The 17,891-nt window shown below is 42.2% G+C and overlaps 2 protein-coding genes across 11 annotated transcripts in view, besides 2 other annotated features; one reads left to right on the top strand and one right to left on the bottom strand.

The window, feature by feature from the left end:
• The window catches only part of REXO5 (RNA exonuclease 5), a 43,241-nt gene extending 42,518 nt beyond the window's left edge, over positions 1 to 723 (top strand). For all 10 annotated transcript variants that reach the window (XM_011545963.3, NM_001199053.2, XM_047434726.1 and 7 more), the window contains one exon: positions 457 to 723. In XM_011545963.3, coding sequence (XP_011544265.1) covers positions 457 to 538 — 82 coding nt within the window. In that variant the 3' untranslated portion in view covers positions 539 to 723. The remainder of the gene's footprint in view (positions 1 to 456) is intronic.
• A 5,259-nt stretch (positions 724 to 5,982) lies between these two features.
• The window catches only part of DCUN1D3 (defective in cullin neddylation 1 domain containing 3), a 45,434-nt gene continuing 33,525 nt past the window's right edge, over positions 5,983 to 17,891 (bottom strand). The window contains exons 2-3 of the mRNA NM_173475.4: positions 13,166 to 13,701; positions 5,983 to 11,427 (exon numbers count right to left, since the gene is read on the bottom strand). Coding sequence (NP_775746.1) covers positions 10,944 to 11,427; positions 13,166 to 13,596 — 915 coding nt within the window. The 5' untranslated portion in view covers positions 13,597 to 13,701 and the 3' untranslated portion in view covers positions 5,983 to 10,943. The remainder of the gene's footprint in view (positions 11,428 to 13,165; positions 13,702 to 17,891) is intronic.
• Positions 16,651 to 17,850: an enhancer, noted in NCBI's record as "MED14-independent group 3 enhancer chr16:20876915-20878114 (GRCh37/hg19 assembly coordinates)". NCBI's record gives its function as "activates an origin of replication core promoter dependent on BRD2, BRD4, P300/CBP and CDK7 cofactors, and independent of MED14, by STARR-seq in HCT116 cells {active_cell/tissue: HCT116}" and the evidence as "EXISTENCE:reporter gene assay evidence [ECO:0000049][PMID:35650434]".
• Positions 16,823 to 17,192: an enhancer, noted in NCBI's record as "active region_10542". NCBI's record gives its function as "activates an Ori minimal core promoter by ATAC-STARR-seq in GM12878 lymphoblastoid cells {active_cell/tissue: GM12878}" and the evidence as "EXISTENCE:reporter gene assay evidence [ECO:0000049][PMID:35858748]".

Genomic DNA, 17,891 nt, shown 5'->3' on the forward strand with positions numbered 1-17,891 from the left:
AGTTGTGTGACTTCAGCAAGTCATATAATGTCTATGAGCTTTTTTATTTTTTAAATGAGGATAACACTTGTACCTACATCAGTGAGCAGTTTTGAGGATTAAATGAGACAAGTGCTTAGAACAACTCTTGGCATGTAGTAAGTGCTCAGTGTATGTTTGCTATTGTCGATAGTCTTCACCAAATCCCTGTGAGATAGTAATTTAAATATTTCATAGTTTTATAGATATGCCTCATATCTCTTAATTGGTAAAGGTAGGATTTGAATCTAGACCTCTGAGACTCATCAGTGCTTTTTCCATTAAACCATCTTCAGCAGGCAGCTTTCCATAAACCTTCCTGCCCTTGCCCCATGGCACACACACATACTTGGAAAAATATCTCCTCTAACTAGGCATTTATAACCATTCATTCAACCTTATGGATAAAAACATACCTTTGTTTCTTATTTATTGCAGCACTCATGGTTCACTCTCTGGTCTAGGACTGATGGGAATAAAAGAGGAAGAAGAAAGCGCTGGCCCAGGCCTGTGTTCGTGAGTCGGCCTGCCATGTTTCCATGTGCCATTTCTTACCCCTTGTAGGCAATGGCAAAGAATGTGGTCAGGCTGTAGCCTCCCCAACCAGCAGACAGCTTTATGGAAACTTGGTATAGCAGCTAAAAGAGTTTAGTTTGTTTATATGGCATGTATAAGTTTTCAATAAATGCCTAAAGTTCAAGCATAGTATGGGGATGTCCACAGATTGTTTCTTTGTGTCATTGAGTTTATGTGCATAGGTGCGGTACAAGGTGCTCATTCCATGTAGCACCCCTATTACGTGGTATATACTGCTAAGGAAACCAAGAGGAGTGATTACTCAGAAAACCAGCCGATTATGCAATTTGTCAAAGTTGTAATGTCTGTGAAGCAAATTTCTTTAAACTGTTTTCTTATTGACAACTCTTAAAAAATTGAAGGACAATGATAGCTGAACTGAGAAATCTGGCAAGTCCACCAGGCAGTGGAGTGGAAGATTCTTTTAGTTTTTTTAACCAGCCCTGGAAACCCCTTCCATTCCACGTTTAGGAATCCTCCTTCCCTTCAGAACATGACTGCAGTGCCACCCTTCACCAGTAGGTGCCTCCATCACACCATCTCTCCCTCTAGGAACTGGAAACTTGAAATTCAGTAAAAGCCGTTTTAATCAACTCTCAAACTGATAACAATCTGTGTTGGAAAGGACATGGGGCATAGGCACCCAATTCCAAAACTACTAGAAATATTAACTGCCCTCCAGAAAAGATGAATCTGGCATACAGTATGTATCATACCCAAAAACCTCGTAAATTGCTCTGTACACTGAGACCCTGCAATTCTACAGCATTATCCTAGGATACTAGGATAGCTACACAAAAACATGTAATGAAGGAGCTATCAGAGGGTTATTACAATGGAGTTCTAGGTAGCCAGTTCTAATGTGTGTGTGAGAGAGAGTAAATAAAATCTTCGGTGAAAGAGATCTTCAAGAAGAGGCAGTAGACCTCTGGATCCAGAATGCTTGACTTTGAATCCCAGCTTTTTAAATTATTGTGTGAACTTGAATAAATTGCTTAACATTTCTGTGCTTGGGATAATAATGGTATGTATCCGAGAGGATTACAGATTAGTGAGATTATACATTCACAGTACTGTATATTATTTGTTGTATGAAGTCTGGAGGGATACAGAATAGCATGTAGTTTGAGTACACTTTTGTAGGAGAAAATATACAAAGCTATACATAGGCTTCTAACAAAACCTGCAAGGCTATATGCCAAAACGTTAATAGTATTTATCTATGGCTAGTGCCATTGACAAATCAGGTTTTAACAAATGCTTTTCTGTTGTAGACTCGATTTTTTTTAACATTCAACATATATTGCTTTTATAATTGGAAAATAATTCTTACCACCTGCTGTCAGGAGAAGAAAAGAAGAGAAAGATAATTCTACTTAAAATTAACTCTTAGGGTTGGGCAGTTGGAGCAGTGTTTAATCTTATAAATGTAGCTTCATAAGATCTGGTCCTATATGAAAGTTTAAATGTAGCTTCTGTAAGATCTGGCCCTATGTGGAACCAGAACTGAAGAGCTTGACTTGGGATCAGACACCGCAACTTGATTCAAGTCCCTTCATCAGGAGGAAAGTTCCCTAGGTGAATTGCCAACTTCCGCTGCAAGGCCCTGAGAACAACTTGAAACTGACAGTGTTGTTGGGTTCCTTCCTGCCCAGCTGAGCTCCAAAGCTGTGAGAGCTTAGCTGCTGTTTACCTCTTGAGGCTCAAGTCCTGAGAGATAAATTAAGTGTCTGCCTCGGATATGAAGAGGCCTGGGTTGGAGCTTCACCTCCCACACACACCTGAGTATTTTGGGGCAAGTCACTTAACCTCATTTGAGGCTATTTCCACAGCTGTATAAAATAAGGAAATAACTATTTTGATTATTGAGACATTTGTGGAAAATAACACAGTAATGCACTATGTGTGAATTAATTTCCCTCTCTGGGCCTGTTTCCTCACCTTTAAAATAGGGGAAATTAGTACTTCATAAGGTTATGAGGATTAAACTAGGAAAAGTCAAGATTGAGTGCTGAATAAATGACATACTATTTTACTAGGGATCATCTCCCTGTACCAAGAGCACTCCACTTGCTCTCAAGAATAGCCAAGGCCATCTTTTTCTTAGGAAAAAGGGTAGGGGTGGAGGTTTCCCCAGGGATCCAACTCCAGAACTCTGCAGAGATGGGCCTGCACTACAAGGCCTCTGAGACTTCAGTCTGCACACTCTGTTCTTTAGCCTGATGCTCCACCTTTTGGAAGCCAAAGCTGCCAACTTGGCCTCTTGCAAAACACACATTCCATTCATAAGTGCGTTTGTGCATTTTTCCTCCCACACCCTTCTAGGCAGCCAGCGCAGAGCTGCCAAGGCAGCTGCTGGAGAAGCAGCTTCTTATGGGGGAAAAGCAACTCCAAGGGCTTTTACAGAACTCATGGTTTAGGCTTTGAACACATTACTCCCATTTTCTGGTCTCCTTGACCATAGGGGGGGTTGTTCATTTCTTTTTGCCCCCCTTTTTGTAAATAACCTCTTCCCTATTAAAAGGAAACCTATTAATGAAAATTTGAAAAATACAGAAAAATTTAAATCACAACTGATCCCACCATCAACAGTCAATGACTGCCAATATTTTATAATCGATCAACTTTTTCCATGATGATAGAAATTCTATTATTCAAAAGCAGAGTTTTAATAGCTGTGTAATATTCTAGCATTGATGTATGCCATAATTTCTAAAACAGTCCCTTTTGTTGACCTTGGAAGTTGTTCCCAAATGATGCTGCCAGTGATATCCTTGCACATACATCCTTGGGAGATATTTCTTTTAGGAAAAGTGCCTAAGTGAAATTATTGGGTTAAAGAGTACGAACACATGCTTTTAACTCCAGAAAGGATTTTACTGTTTACTAGCATAGATTTCTTTCAAATTTTTGCCATTTAAAATTTTTCATTGTATATTTAATGTCTGCTTATTTGAATACCCTTTAGATTGGCATCCTGCTTTTTTTCCCAGAAGCTTTTTGGTAAATTATTTTTCCTAAGTGAGTTGTTCATATCCTTTGCCATTTTTCTATTGGGAAGCCAGATCCTTTTCCATACTGAATTTTTAAGAGCGCCTTATGGATTCACTATATATAGTGTCCATTTACAAACTATTACAAAATTTTAGTTTGCTTTTTAAGGTATATCATTTTATGTTTAGTCTTTTGTGATTTCCTCTATTTGCTTTTATGCTTAGAAAGCCCTGACTGATCTCTGGATCCAATGACAAGTTTATATATTTCTAATGATTTAATGTCTATACTTCATAGCCTTATTTTTCTTGGAATTTATCTTGGCATGTAATAACTTTCTCCCAAATATTTAGATAATTTTACCCAATTATCTAGCTTTACTTACCCAATAAAGGAGGATGCTCCTTTATCATTTAAGTCCATGTGTATACTAGGGCCAGTATTCATGTTTTCTTCTGTCTTGTCATGTAGTAGTACCACACTATTGTGTAGCTCTATGATGTACTAGCAGTTTTAGCAGCATCACCCCAGATAAACACAGGGCCCATGGAGAGTCTCCATCAGCATGGATTACAGAACACTGTAGAGTTAAGATGCTTCGCTGCTGACTGCACTGGTGCTGCTACATTCCACCAGGACTTTTTCAGCACCCCTGAGTCAAGAGACGGGACAAGGGTCAGAACACTGAACAGAAGAATGTTAAACTCAGGTAGGAGCCTTATGTTTTTAAGACAGGGCATCCTCACAAGTCAACGTAAAGGAAAGGAAATGGAGAGGTTAGGCAAGCTCCCTAATCTTATCAGGCAGACTAACCCTTTTTGACCTACGTCAAAACTCAGAGCTAGAAGGATGACTTCCAGAGCCAATCCAGCCATGTGCTTCAGCAACTGATTTGAAAGGAGGGAAGAAGCCAGTGTTGCAACTCTTCCGTACTCCTCAGATCCTCAGCACTACCTTCAGTGCACCTTTCTTGCTAGAAAGCATTCCACGTGCAGTTAAGCTCATCTGGTAACTAAGTGAAGTTGTTTGTCCATCATCTAATTGAAAATTAGATTTTAGCTGTATATAATCTATACAGCCTGTGACAGCACTTTGAATAGCCCAGGCTCTATACAAGCCCCCAAATCAGTATCCTTCCACTTTATTCCCCAAACCTATTTGTAAGGCTCTGGCTGGGCTCCATAACTCAGAAGTGCCAAAGCACAGAAGAAACAAGCCCAAAAGAGCCAACTGGGGAATGTTTTAGAGGCATACTTTTTAAGTGAGGAAAACATCATCCCTTAAGATTTCCTTCCTGCCCCCACCTGGTCCTGTCCTTAGTAATGAGGAAGAGAAAAAGAGTTGCAGTTCATTGAGGAAATCTCAGAAACCTCTCCCTAATCAGAGAATGTAGACATGACTTCCAGAGCCTTTGCAACAGAAAAGAAAAAGTACACCTACTCCCACCACCATACTTACTTATTTTTACAAGATACCAACATGAGGCTGGGAATCTTTGGGGAGGCCATCAGGGTCTCCATGAAAGAAATGTGTAAGATGGCCAGTCAAGAGCTTTCCTGAATGTAAACAATAACTAGACAGAAAATACAATGGAAGGAAGCTAAGGGTCGTAAGTGGTCTAATCATCATACATCTAGAGTGTTAAGAGGCAGATGGGAATCCCAGGGATCACGTTAGTCTGAGCTTCTTCCCCCATCCCCAATTTGGCACAGAGGGAAATTAAGCCCCTAAGAGGGGCTGTGACTTGTGAAAGGTCATGTATGACCATGCCAACCCCCTCTCTTATTCTCTGGTTTCCCTGCATTACTCACCTAGCATTCCTTTGGAGAACCTTAAAAGAGCTTGTAATGTTTGAGCACTTATGTGTCATTGGGACTTTATCAAGACTTTTAAATCCTAGCACTCTGATGGAACCAAGAGTCTTTTAATTTTGCAGATGAGTAAAAGGAAACTTAGAGGTTCACTAACTTGCCGAAGGTCACATAGCAGTGGCATTTGACAGTTAAAGCCAGATACAGCTTGTTTCCTTTGCCTTAATGCACTGCCATACTGTTAAATCTAGGGGTCATGCATTTAACATACTGCTCAACTTCACTTTTTATTCCTCATGAGAATTCACATCAGTTGCAAAGGTAAGACTATTTAGGCAGTGGCCCTGTGAAGACTTATTTGCTCTTTGCCTCTAAGCACTGAGACCCCCAAAAGCCACCCTACTAAGCTTGGTATGTGGGAGGTCAACACCCATGTTTGGAGTCTGAGGATCCTGTACTTATCTGGATTGTTTTTCAAAGAATAAAAATTGTTACTCAATATCATGTTGGTAGAAGCTCCCAGTGGGTAAATTTTGCCCCAGAATAAAGTCACTGTTTTTTTTTTTTTGTAGAAATATCAATATTCAAGTAAACAAATTTATTAAATCCAACAGCAGGTAACCTTCCAAATAAAAAACATTAAAGGAAAAAATGTAGACATCAAAGACAAAAATGTGTGTAACAAGTCAATAAAAATACTCAAGGGGCCATTTGGAGAGTGCAACAGTGCAGAAAATACAAACAAAAGTATTAACTTTTGTCAAGTTTGTACAACCTCAACAAACAGACACACTGGTCACAAACCAAGAGGGATCCACAAAGGTGGAGGGTCACATGAGCAGTGGACTCATCACCTCAGCGGCTTAAGGCAGGGTATATCTGTGGGACCAATTCATCCAAGCCCCATGTGCCTATTGCTTCACATTCCCCCTTTAAAACCTAGTCATATTCATTAGTGCAACAGGTAAGAGCAATTAAGCACAGACGGAGCTGGGGACCAGGGTCAGAGGGAAGACACTTCTCCCAGAGCAAATGTATGCATGTCAGGGGGATGAAAAACCCCAGCAGCTGCTGAATGGCTTCCTTTGGCAATATCCAAGATTTGTGTTGAAAGGAGCAGGGAGGTTGGATGGGTGGCGGAAGTAGGTATTTATGAGATAGGCTGGGTTTCCAAGAAGAGAAGAATAGGGAGGACATGATGCCCAGCACCTGAATCAGAAGCAGAACCCAATGGTTATGCAAAGCTATTTGAACTATTTTGGCTTCTGCAACCAGTGCTCAAGAATCTATTTCATCTTTCGAAAAGGGGGAAAACCCCTGCCGATCCTCACCAACATGCAGTCCCAGTCCAGTTTAAACTGGATATGCAATTACAGCTTACCAGGGGAATAAACTCTGAGGGGGATGGATGGTTCGGAACCTTCTTTATATGATCAGAAAACACACTGTGGAATAAGAGGAGGATCAATGTCGCATTTCCTCAATGAGTCCCAATTAACACAATTCAACAACCTTAATAGTCCTTTCAGTCGTTTAAACAAGATACTGCTGGAGTCCTCCAAGAAGACCTGTCATTTACCAAGATGTTCAAGTCCCCCAAGGAAGACCTTTGTCAGTTACCAAGATGCTCAAGTCATAGCTAACCAAACATGAGAGACAAGAAAAACAGCAGAGCAGTCAAGTAAAATGCAACAAAAACCTAGCAGCAGCTTTCTTCTACGCCTTAACCTTATAATTGCATAACTGAGTCTACACCTTTTGGGCTTTGCTGCACTGAAGACCTCATTTGGAATCTGGCAAACCAAACATTCTTAAATACATAGGTTGGTGTAAAAGTAATTGTGGTTTTTGCCATACTTAATGGCAATACATTAAGTATGGCAAAAACTTACTTTTGCACCAACCTAACAGATCTGTTTTGGTTTGTAAACTTTTAGACAAGTTCTTATCCCAGTAACTCCCCACCACTGTTTAATACAATTTGGCACAGTATATAGTACATGAGGCCATCGAGTGTAACTACTATGGGACTCCATTTTGGCACCAGCCCCTAGAGACCAGTACTGCTTCAAAGACTAATACTGTGTGGCTTAATCCTTTCTCCCTTTCCAAAAAGACTAGTTTGTGCTTTCCTTGGGGAAGTTTAATATTGAAAACACTGCCTTGTACATTTTCAATTGTTATTTTCCTGGGCCCAGGGGTTTGGTTAAAATTTAGATCTTCACCCAGCTCTAGATTCATCTTCCCTTATCAGAAGGGCAGACATGGTTTCCTGGACCCAACTCACACAGGTGGGCAGCACTTCAGCTGCTGAGACAACCAGCTGAAGCATAGCAAAGCCCCTTACAGGAGGTGGGGTTAAGAACGATACATTGAGATTTGGCAAAGATGGGGGAAAGAGCAATTCAATGAAGCAGCACGTCATCTCATACCATCTTTCCAATAAACTGCTAAAGAAACATCACAAAAGCTGACAAAGCCAGTTGTCAAAACTGAGTTATTTCTTATTTCCCAACACACTTGTTTGTTGTTGCCCTCAGATGTTGCCGATTTCCAAAGTGGCGTCCACATCCTGCCCCTCTCCACATCACCCTGATGTTCTGTTGCTAAGCAAGGAGTGTACTGGCTTATCTGAGGGGCATGCATTCAGCCTCTTACACAGACTTACTGCTCACTCATTAAGTGGCAAACCTATTTCTAGGTTGAAAGGAACAAGACTTTTCACTTCCCAGAAGTATAACTTCAAACCCTACACACACCTCACCTTGGATCCCTTTGCAGAAAAACTGCATTTCTTGTGGTCATGAAAGAGTCAAGCATTGGCCCAGAGCTACTGCAGAAGCTTGAAATCTTTGCTGAGCATCAAGTACTCAAACTTGAAAGGAACTTGTAAGTCCCTCCCTGACTGCTCCCTTTTCTGGCTTCTCATTTGCAAATGGATCAATATAACCAAAAAATAACTAAATGGCTTTTTTGGTGGGGGATGAGGAGGCTAAATAGTTAATTTAAAAAACAACAAAATACATCCACTCTAGTACATCTAATGCACGGAATGTCTTCTTAAAGGGTGGGGAAGGAACCTAGTTTCTCCAGAGTACTCAGGGTCCTGGGCTGCCTGCCTCTTTTGTGCAGCTTTCTCTGATACACTCTGATCTGGGATGGAAAGGGCCTTATCTGGCCAAGAGCAGCCTGGCTTTTCCCTCAGTCAACCACTACCCAATCCAGAACCGGGGAAAATGAGTTGCAAACTGGCTTAATGAAAAAGCAGTCTTTTTAAAACCTCAGTCTGGGTACCCAGCTACAACTGATCCCACAGAACCTGCTGGGACCCCTGGAGACTTATTCAAGAGTCTTATTTAGCTAGAACAGAAGCCAGGCATCTGGCCCAAGACCCCCTTCAGCTTTCTAGCAGTACTATACCGTGGGTGATCTTAAAGTTTCCCATTTGCCCCTCTGAAGGAGGAACTGTCAGGTTTAGGATTTAAAAAAAAAAACAAATTCCAAGTATGTTCCCTATGGTCAATATCAGTTTTAGAAAAATACCAACTGCCAAAACTCTTTAATAATCCTTAAGATGGGAGCCCAGAGCTGTAAGGCTGCTCACAATGGAACTCAAAACATGCAATTCCTGCCCAGGCTGAGAAACATACCTGGGACGCAGCGGGGTATTAGGTTAAGGGAGAAACCTCCAAATGTTTAACAGACAAAGTCTCATTACCTCAAGAGTATAAATATTTTTATACGTTTTTATTTAAAAGATTCCCTTTTTAATCTGTTCCAAAGTGTTGGAAGCTGAACTATACAAGTTCCTGCCACCCATCCTTCCAGTACAGTTTTCTGAGGACATACTTTTTAAATGGAAAAATAACAGGAGGACCCTCTAACTGAAACCAGGTAGGCCCAGAGTGAGCTCCTCAGGCCCCTGTGGCAGCCTGGCCAAAGCTGGCCTTTATGGAGCCAGCGCGTGGAGAAGTCTGGGGAACCGGGGCCCTCCCTCTTGTGAGGAAAGGGCTGAGCAAACTCATGTTCTCTTTAGTGAAATGGTCCAAATTCAGATCCAAAAGCCTCCATTATGGCATTCCCTGGCACTCTTCTTATACTTTATACATTGAAGGCAGCTCCCTCTTTTATGGCCAGTATAAGCAGGCAAAGAAACAAAGGAATATAGATACATATATGTGTATATATATATATTTTATATAGGTAAAATATATACATATTTTATATATGTATATATACATATTTGGGGGTAGGGAAAGGAGAGGAGGGTCATGTAAACCTAAACAGTCATCACATTACCCCAAATGAGCCTGACTTTAACAAAAAGATAATAAATAACTCCTGGGGGTTAAGTGACAACATGGGTGCAGCAAGAAGGGAAAGGGCACAAATTTAACTATTAAATACACTTTGATATTTGTTTGGCAGAGTTCAGGCCAACCCCAGGCTTCTGCCCTTGCCAGACAAGTAAGCTGATGATATTCAAAGAAAAAAATAAAAATATTAAAAAAAAAAAAATTCAAGCAGAGCTCCATACCACAGTTTTCCTTCAAGTCAGTTGGCCGGCAGGCAGTTTCCCGACCACCAGGAACAGAAACTTTGGCTCCAAGGCAAATGAAACAAACAAACAAAAAAAAGTATTTCCACTTACAACATGAAAATACAGAAACTTCATCAAAGAAAGAAAACTATCAAAGAAGTCTACTTCCAGCAAAACTGAGGTAGCACTGCTTTCTCCGCATTCAATGCTTAAGTGGTTCTCAGTACAATGTGTTCTTAAAAAATGCTCACTTGACTGACAGGTGCAGCATGTTGATGGAAAAACTCAACATGAAATGCAATAGGTCAAAGAAGGAATGAGCAAGAAGTGAGGGAAATCAGGGTTCTGGATAAATTAGCTTAAAAGGGGGTTGTCACCAGACTACAAATGCTCTTGGCTGGCCTTGGCTCTCCAAGAGCTCTAAATCGCCTGGGAATTAATGCAATGTGGTTAACAGTTAACACTGCTATTCAAATCTGTGTAAATCTTTAAAAATAATTATTACAACCTAAATTCATCTATGTAAACAGCACTACACACAGTACAGACCTGCCCTGAAAAACAATATGCGAAACTGAGATCTGGCACTGTATCATTTTGTAATGTTAATTCAACCTAACAGTCCCATCCCCCCGCCCTGCTCTATGCCCTCCCCTACCAAAAAAAAAAAAAAAAAAACAAAAAAAAACAAAAAAAAAACCTAAATTTGTGCAAGAAATGGCAGGCTTATTCTATCTGAAGGCTTCAAAAAAAGATACACAACATGTAACCAGGTTCAAATATTCTGGGAGATCCCCCCAAAAAGGAAATAACCAAAATAACCAAAAAAATGAAGAAAGTGCCTAAAACATGATACAGCATTTTAGAGCCCTTTCAGATACAAGGCAGAGAAAGGTGTAAAGTAGAAAATATCCGGATCTTCAGTAATTTCCAAAATGGTCCAATTCCTCAGTTGGCTGCAGGGCAGCTGGCAGATCCTTGCTGCTGCTCCTGGGACAGAGCCACTAAGTCTGCTCCTCGGGACACAAGCCCTCAGGCCCTGAGCTGAGTGCACCTCTCCCTTCCCCTTCTCTTTTCCTTCGCTCCATTTCCCACTCCACAAAGGTGTCAAAGAGACTTGGCCAGGCCTCATCTTCACTGTAGTTGCTGAGGTCAGGGCCAATCACCTGAGTGAAGTTAAGGAACATGTTCCAAGTGTCCCGGGAGATGCCCTTGATCCCCGAGGGGTTCTCTGTTAGGAAGTTTAGCCATTGGTCCAATACCGGAGGATTGTTCTGGGTAAAGACTAGTTTCCACAGGGCAATGGCTATTTCCCGATGCAGTGACCGCTGCCCTTCTTCAGAGTCCAGGCCAAACTGAAATGTAAACCGGTAGAGATCCTTGAATTTATCCTCTTGTTTGGCTTCTGTTAAGAGGCTAGGGAACCGTGCACAGATTCCGTCAATGCTGTCTGCACTTATTGCTTTGCAGCCATCAAAAAACTCCTTCCTGCAACAGAAAGGAAAAGGACAATTAATCATTATAAACTATACTATTTACAGGCAATATACATAGTGATTAAGAGCAAGGCTTTCAGGCCAGATGGTCTGAATTTGAATTCTAACTCCTCCAACTAATTAGTCCTATTTCCTTACTTGTCAAATGGTAAAAATACCACCTTACTTCATAGGGTTTTGGTGAGGACTAAACAAATTACTATTCTGCTTCTAACAGTGCCTGGCACACGGTTGGCAGCTGATAATGGTTCATTTATTCATTCATTCATCTTCCCAAAGCTAAACTCAAGTCTCCTGCTCCCTGCCCTGTTTCCCGCTCTGCAATAGCGATTAAGCTGCGGATTCTTTCTCCTTCCAGAGGAGGAGGCTTCCTGTTTCCCTTCTGATTCTCTATGGGTTGTTTGTTTGGGGTATATTTTTAGAGATTGCCAAGGGAGACTTCTGGAGCCAAGGATTCTGAACCTGAGTAATTCTACCACCAGAGATCAAAATTCTATTATTAAAAAACAAAAATTATGTATGTATTTTTAACATCTATACAACCCTTTCAGCTTACAGCATGGTCTCGCATTGATCGTCTTCTCAGGGACTGTAGTATCTGCTGAAGAGGTGAGGCCTCTGAGGTCTGGAGGGTAACCTTCCTGGGGTGGGGGGCATGCAAACTACAAATTGTATGGCTAGGCCTCACAGTCAGTTCTTATTCACAACCCCGTGCTCTACAAACCACATTCTACAGGGACATATGACCAGAACAATATGCACAGCTACTGCTTAGTAACTGAGGCCAACTGACCTTATTATACACAGGCCTGGCTGAGGGCGGGCAACATGCTAAGTACCAGAAAGGGCAAGTGGCTTCATGGAGGGAGAGAGGCGTATCCCCTCCCCAGAGGCACTTACTATATTGGTACTCACAGTGCAAGTGGCTTCATGGAGGGAGAGAGGCGTATCCCCTCCCCAGAGGCACTTACCATATTGGTACTCACAGTGCAAGTGGCTTCATGGAGGGAGAGAGGCGTATCCCCTCCCCAGAGGCACTTACCATATTGGTACTCACAGTGCAAGTGGCTTCATGGAGGGAGAGAGGTGTATCCCCTCCCCAGAGGCACTTACTATATTGGTACTCACAGTGCCTGGCACATGCTGGGCATACAATAAATATCAAGTGAGTGAACTGACATGTAAAGGAGTAAAAGAAAAGAAAGGTCCAAGACAGCAGTGGGGCCGAGCAGCAACTTGGCCACCTGGCTCACCCTGGCTTATTTCTCATTTAAGGCAAAGATGAGCAGTGCCCAGTTACTCAGAAGCTGCCAAATAATGCTATGATAGGCCTGAAATTTGACCTATGAATTAGGCAAAGGCGTTATTCTGCAAAAAAAAAAAGAAAAAGAAAAAGAAAAAAAAAACCATAGCGTACACATTAGAACCAGACATGAATCTCTATCAAAATCCAAGTGCCTGGGCCTTCCCTGCTGAGATTCCTATTCAGTAGGTCTGCTGCAGAGCCAGAGAGATATATTTTAAACCCTTAGAGTCCAGAGGGGCTTCTCAGCATCATAACCACAACTTGGCTCAAAAGATTCAAGCTTTAGAGAACCTGATCAGAAAAATAAAAACTTACCCAAAACCCTATGAAGCCAACCCAGTCCTATCCTAGCTGGGCACCACTGCCCAATGCTGTTCCCTTTCCTCCACTGCTCACCTGGTGACATAAAGTGTTTGTGACTAACCTGGTGAATTTGCACATGGTTGCAGCCTGGAACTTCCAAGCCAAGAGCAGCACTCGAAATTCTGTGGGGTCAACACACAGGTCATTGCAAAAGCGCTCCATGCCTTCCTCCAAAATTGCATCTTCCCGCTCATCCTTGTAGCGCCTGAACAGTTCTTCCAATCTTTGCAAGGAAGACTCCTCGGCATTGGACTTGGACTCCCTCCCAGCATCTCCCGAGGACGTTGGCAGCTGGCAGGCCTCAGTGGCAGCCTCGGCCTTCTTGGTCCCGTTGACGAGGATATCTCCACCTGGCTTGCCACAGGGTGGTACCTGCTCCTCACGGTGGCCTGCACCCCTCCTGCTATGTGACTTGTTGCTGGGCTCACGGTCTCCATTTTTGCTGCCCAGGGTCGATGAGGGATTCTTACACTTGGTGACACACTGGCCCATGGTGCTGGTGGCCTGGCCTCTAGAGTGGACCCCTCTGGATTGGATGCCCTCGCTGCCGCTGGCCCATGTACCTCAACATGCCATCAGCCAGAGGAGCCAGCCAACCTGGAAGGAAATTAGAAAGCCATCACCTCTGGGTGGGGGAAATGGGGTATGGACCCTACCTTCTAGGGTGCACACTGGTTCACCGCTCTATTTCCATGAGCCAACAACGAACCATGGGAGAGACCCTGAGTTCATCATCCCCTTCACAGGCCAGCTCCGTAACTTCACCTTGGCGACGCAGAGGCTGGGGCACATATGGAGAACCAATGAGGGAAATTCCTAAAATTCTTAAGGTAACATAGATTTCAAAGAGGCCGATTCATATGTAGAATGCATCAAAGACTGACAGAAATATTCCAGAGGAAATCTGTCTTGCCAACTTGCCATCACATAAGAAAAGTTATTTGGACCTGGGTTAAGCCAGAAGGCACAAAGGAAGGGTTCATCTTCTAATTCCTAATGCCAACATTCTCAGATTTTCTTTTTAAGTAGGATGAGTAGGGAGAAGGGGTGGCCATATTCAGAACAATAGTCTCATAATGCCCTAATGATGAGGTTGTCAAGACTACAAGCAGGGGCCTAAGCCAAGCAGCAAAATGAAATTTGCCTCTGATCTCTCCAGATTCCTTTCTGGGCCTATCCCACACAGTAGGTGAAATGCCCTTGCTTTGCCCTACTCCATCCACCTATAGAAACCATCCACCAAGCCTATACTCCAAACCAAGTTTCCCAACTGAGGAGCTTCTTCTCCCCCAGGTCCTCAGCAAGGCTGTACTTAGAATGCAAGCCAAGTCCACAATAAATGTGATTGTCCTATAGGGCCTATAGGCTGAGCCTTCCAAAGAAGCATGTCTCCACTTTAAAAGAAGGACTGGGGCCGGTTGCAGTGGCTCACATCTGTAATCCCAACATTTTGGGAGGCAAGGTGGGTGGGCAGATAGCTTGAGTGCAGCAGTTTGTGACTAGCCTGGGAGACATAGCAAGACCCTGTCTCTACGAAAAATAGAAAAAAATTAGTTGGGTGTGGTGATGCACACCTGTACTCCCAGCTACAAGGGAGGCTCAGGTGGGAGGATCAACTGAGCCCAGGTCAAGGCTGCAGTGAGCTGGGATAGCACCACTCCACTGCAACCTGGGTGACAAAGACCCTGTGTAAAAAAATTGAAAAAATCACTGGTACAAAAACAGGCACACAGACCAATGGAACAGAATGGAGAGCCCAAAAATAAGGCCACACATCTACAACCATCTGATCTTCAACAAAGCTGACAAAAACAAGCAATGGGGAAAAGACTCCCTATTCAATAAATGGTGCTGGGATAACCGGCTAGCCATATGCAGAAGACTGAGGCTGGATCCCTTCCTTACACCATATACAAAAATCAACTCAAGATGGATTAAAGACTTAAATGTAAAACCCCAAACTATAAAAACCTTAGAAGGCAACCTAGGCAATACCATCCTGGACATAGAACCAGGCAAAGATTTCATAACAAAGACACCAAAAGCAATCAAAACAAAAGCAAAAATTGACAAGTGGGATCCATAATAATTAAACTTAAGAGCTTCTGCACAGCAAAAGAAACTATCGAGAGATAGCAAATATGAAACTATCAAGAGATTCCTACAGAATGGAAGAGGAAATATGCAAACTATGCATCTGACAAAGGTCTAATATCCAGCATCTATAAGGAACTTAAATTTACAAGAGAAAAACAAATAACCCCATTAAAAAGTGGGCAAAGTACATGAATAGACACTTCTCAAAAGAAGACATACATGTGGCCAACAAGCATATGAAAAAAAGCTCAATATCACTGATCATTAGAGAAATGCAAATCAAAACCACAATGAGATACCATCTCACACCAGTCAGAATGGCTATTACTAAAAAGTCAAAAAAAAAAACAGGAGATGGTTAGGTTGTAGAGAAAAGGGAACACTTATACACGGCTGGTGGGAGTGTAAATTACTTCGACCACCGTGGAAAGCAGTATGGTGATTCCTCAAAGAGCTAAAAGCAGAACTACATTCGAACTAGCAATCCCATTACTGGGCATATACCCAGATGAATAAAAACCATTCTGCCACAAAGACACACGCATGCGAATGTTCACTGCAGCACTATTCACAATAGCAAAGACATGGAATCAACCTAAATGCCCATCAGTGACAGATAAGATAAAGAAAATGTGGTCCATATACACCACGGAACGCTATGCAGCCATAAAAAAGAACGAGATCATGTCTTTTGTGGGAACACACATGGAGCTGGAGGCTATGATCCTCAGCAAACTAACGCAGGGACAGAAAACCAAATACTCACTTATAAAGTGCGAGCTAAATGATGAGAACTTATGAATACAAAGAAGGAAACAACAGAAACTGGGGTCTACTTGAGGGTAGAGGGTGGAGGGTGGTAGGAGGGAGAGGAGCAGAAAAGATAATTACTGGGCTCTGGACTTAACACCTGGGTGATGAAATAATATGTACAACAAACCCCCATGACACATGTTTACCTGTGTAACAAACCTTGACATGTACCCCCAAACCTAAAATAAAAGCTAAAAAAAAAAAGTTACCAAAAATAAATAAATAAAAATGCTCAGGATATTCAGAAAAAAAGAAAAAACTGAAAAAAGTGGGAAAAAAATAGAAAAACAAAAGAAGGACAGATTTACCCAAATACAATCTTTAAATGGTAGGATAATTGCTAGATGAAAAAGAAAAGTTTGCACTGATACATAACAAACTCGTCATGGTGGTTTATTAATTATTTATATAATTTAAAAGTGGTTTTTTAAACAAATTGCTAGACATTTCTGAGCCAGAAGCGAGGTGATTTCTCTAAGATGACTCTGGCTACTTAGGACTCTTATTCCTACCTTCAACTGGTTTGTTGGAAAATCCATGTACAATTTAGTATTTATAAAACTTTGCCAACTGCTATAATAATGGCAGCCACTGAAATTACGTTGTTAATGAAGTGTGGACCAGGAGCCAGAAGTGTAGCAGGAAACAGACACTAAACAGAAGTCAACGTCAGTCACCCGGGCCTCCCCAGGTCTAGGGAGCTTTCATGGACCTCTATGATCCAAACTAAAAGATCTTTGAAAACCGGCAGTGGGACAGAAGGTGTTTTTTATGAAAGGCTGGAGCTTTAAACTTTGCCTAAAATACTTGGCTTCCTCCAAATAGTGCCTGGATAAATTGGGGGTCGTCTTCAAGAGGAATTCTCTCTGAGGATAAGCTCTGAGTATACAGTAAGTTTAAAATGAAGAGCACAATCATTCCTGTAGTTATTAGAGATTAGTCATATCAAGGCCTGTCCCCTTCTCCACCCGCAAAGAGAGCAATGACAAAAATACATGTCCAAACATGCCCTCAAAGACTTGTAGTTTTACTTAGGCTTCAAAAATACACTGAAGCTCTTATAAGGGCTTTTGGTATGGAAAACAACCATCCTAAGTAAGTTTTTTAAAAGACTTTTTATGCTTTAAGACTACAGCTAGTAAGCCATAAGTACAACTCATTACAATTTCAAATGGCAAGGGGTTAATTCTTGGAAGACCATGGTACAAGGGAAGCAACTGTGCGAGCTGAATTATCTCAAAACAAGGACTGTACCATGTGGAGGGCCTGGTTTCCAGATTTGTGTTCCTAAAGACTAGAATGCTGAAAGAAACAAAAGGCCCAAACTTACACAAACCCCACATGCTCACAGACTGGCAACTCTAATTCCCAGGCACGCTGACTCACCAGGGTTTACTGCTCAGCTCCTGCTGCTGAGTGAGGCATGGGCACCCAGCGAGATAAGAGGATTTCCTGGCCTCCATCTGACCCACCTACCCCAGGCCACTCACCCCGCCCCCACTGGACAGATGCTTCATCCTAGCAGCTTCCTCCAAATCCTGGCGCCAAGGCCTTCAGGTAGGGACAGAACAGATGGGGCTCCCAAAGAGGCCCTAATCCCATTGAGCCAACCAGCCCTCCATGTAAGAGTATCTTTTGACTACCTGACACAGCAGAACCAGCTGAAACCTGAAAGCTTTTAACATGACCAGCAGATGAAAAAAAGGAGAAGAAAATTAGTTTCAACAGATGATCAATCAGCAAATGCCAGAAGGTTGGATCGTTCTTCCACTCTGGTCTCTTTCTTTGAAATGCCCCCATTCCATTGAGTGTTGAGGCGAGTGGTGGTCTAAACCCAGAAGAAAATATCTCCAGATCTGGTAAGTATGGTCCCCCGA

The sequence above is a fragment of the Homo sapiens genome, chromosome 16, assembly GCF_000001405.40.
Source record: "Homo sapiens chromosome 16, GRCh38.p14 Primary Assembly".
Lineage (NCBI taxonomy): Eukaryota > Metazoa > Chordata > Mammalia > Primates > Hominidae > Homo > Homo sapiens.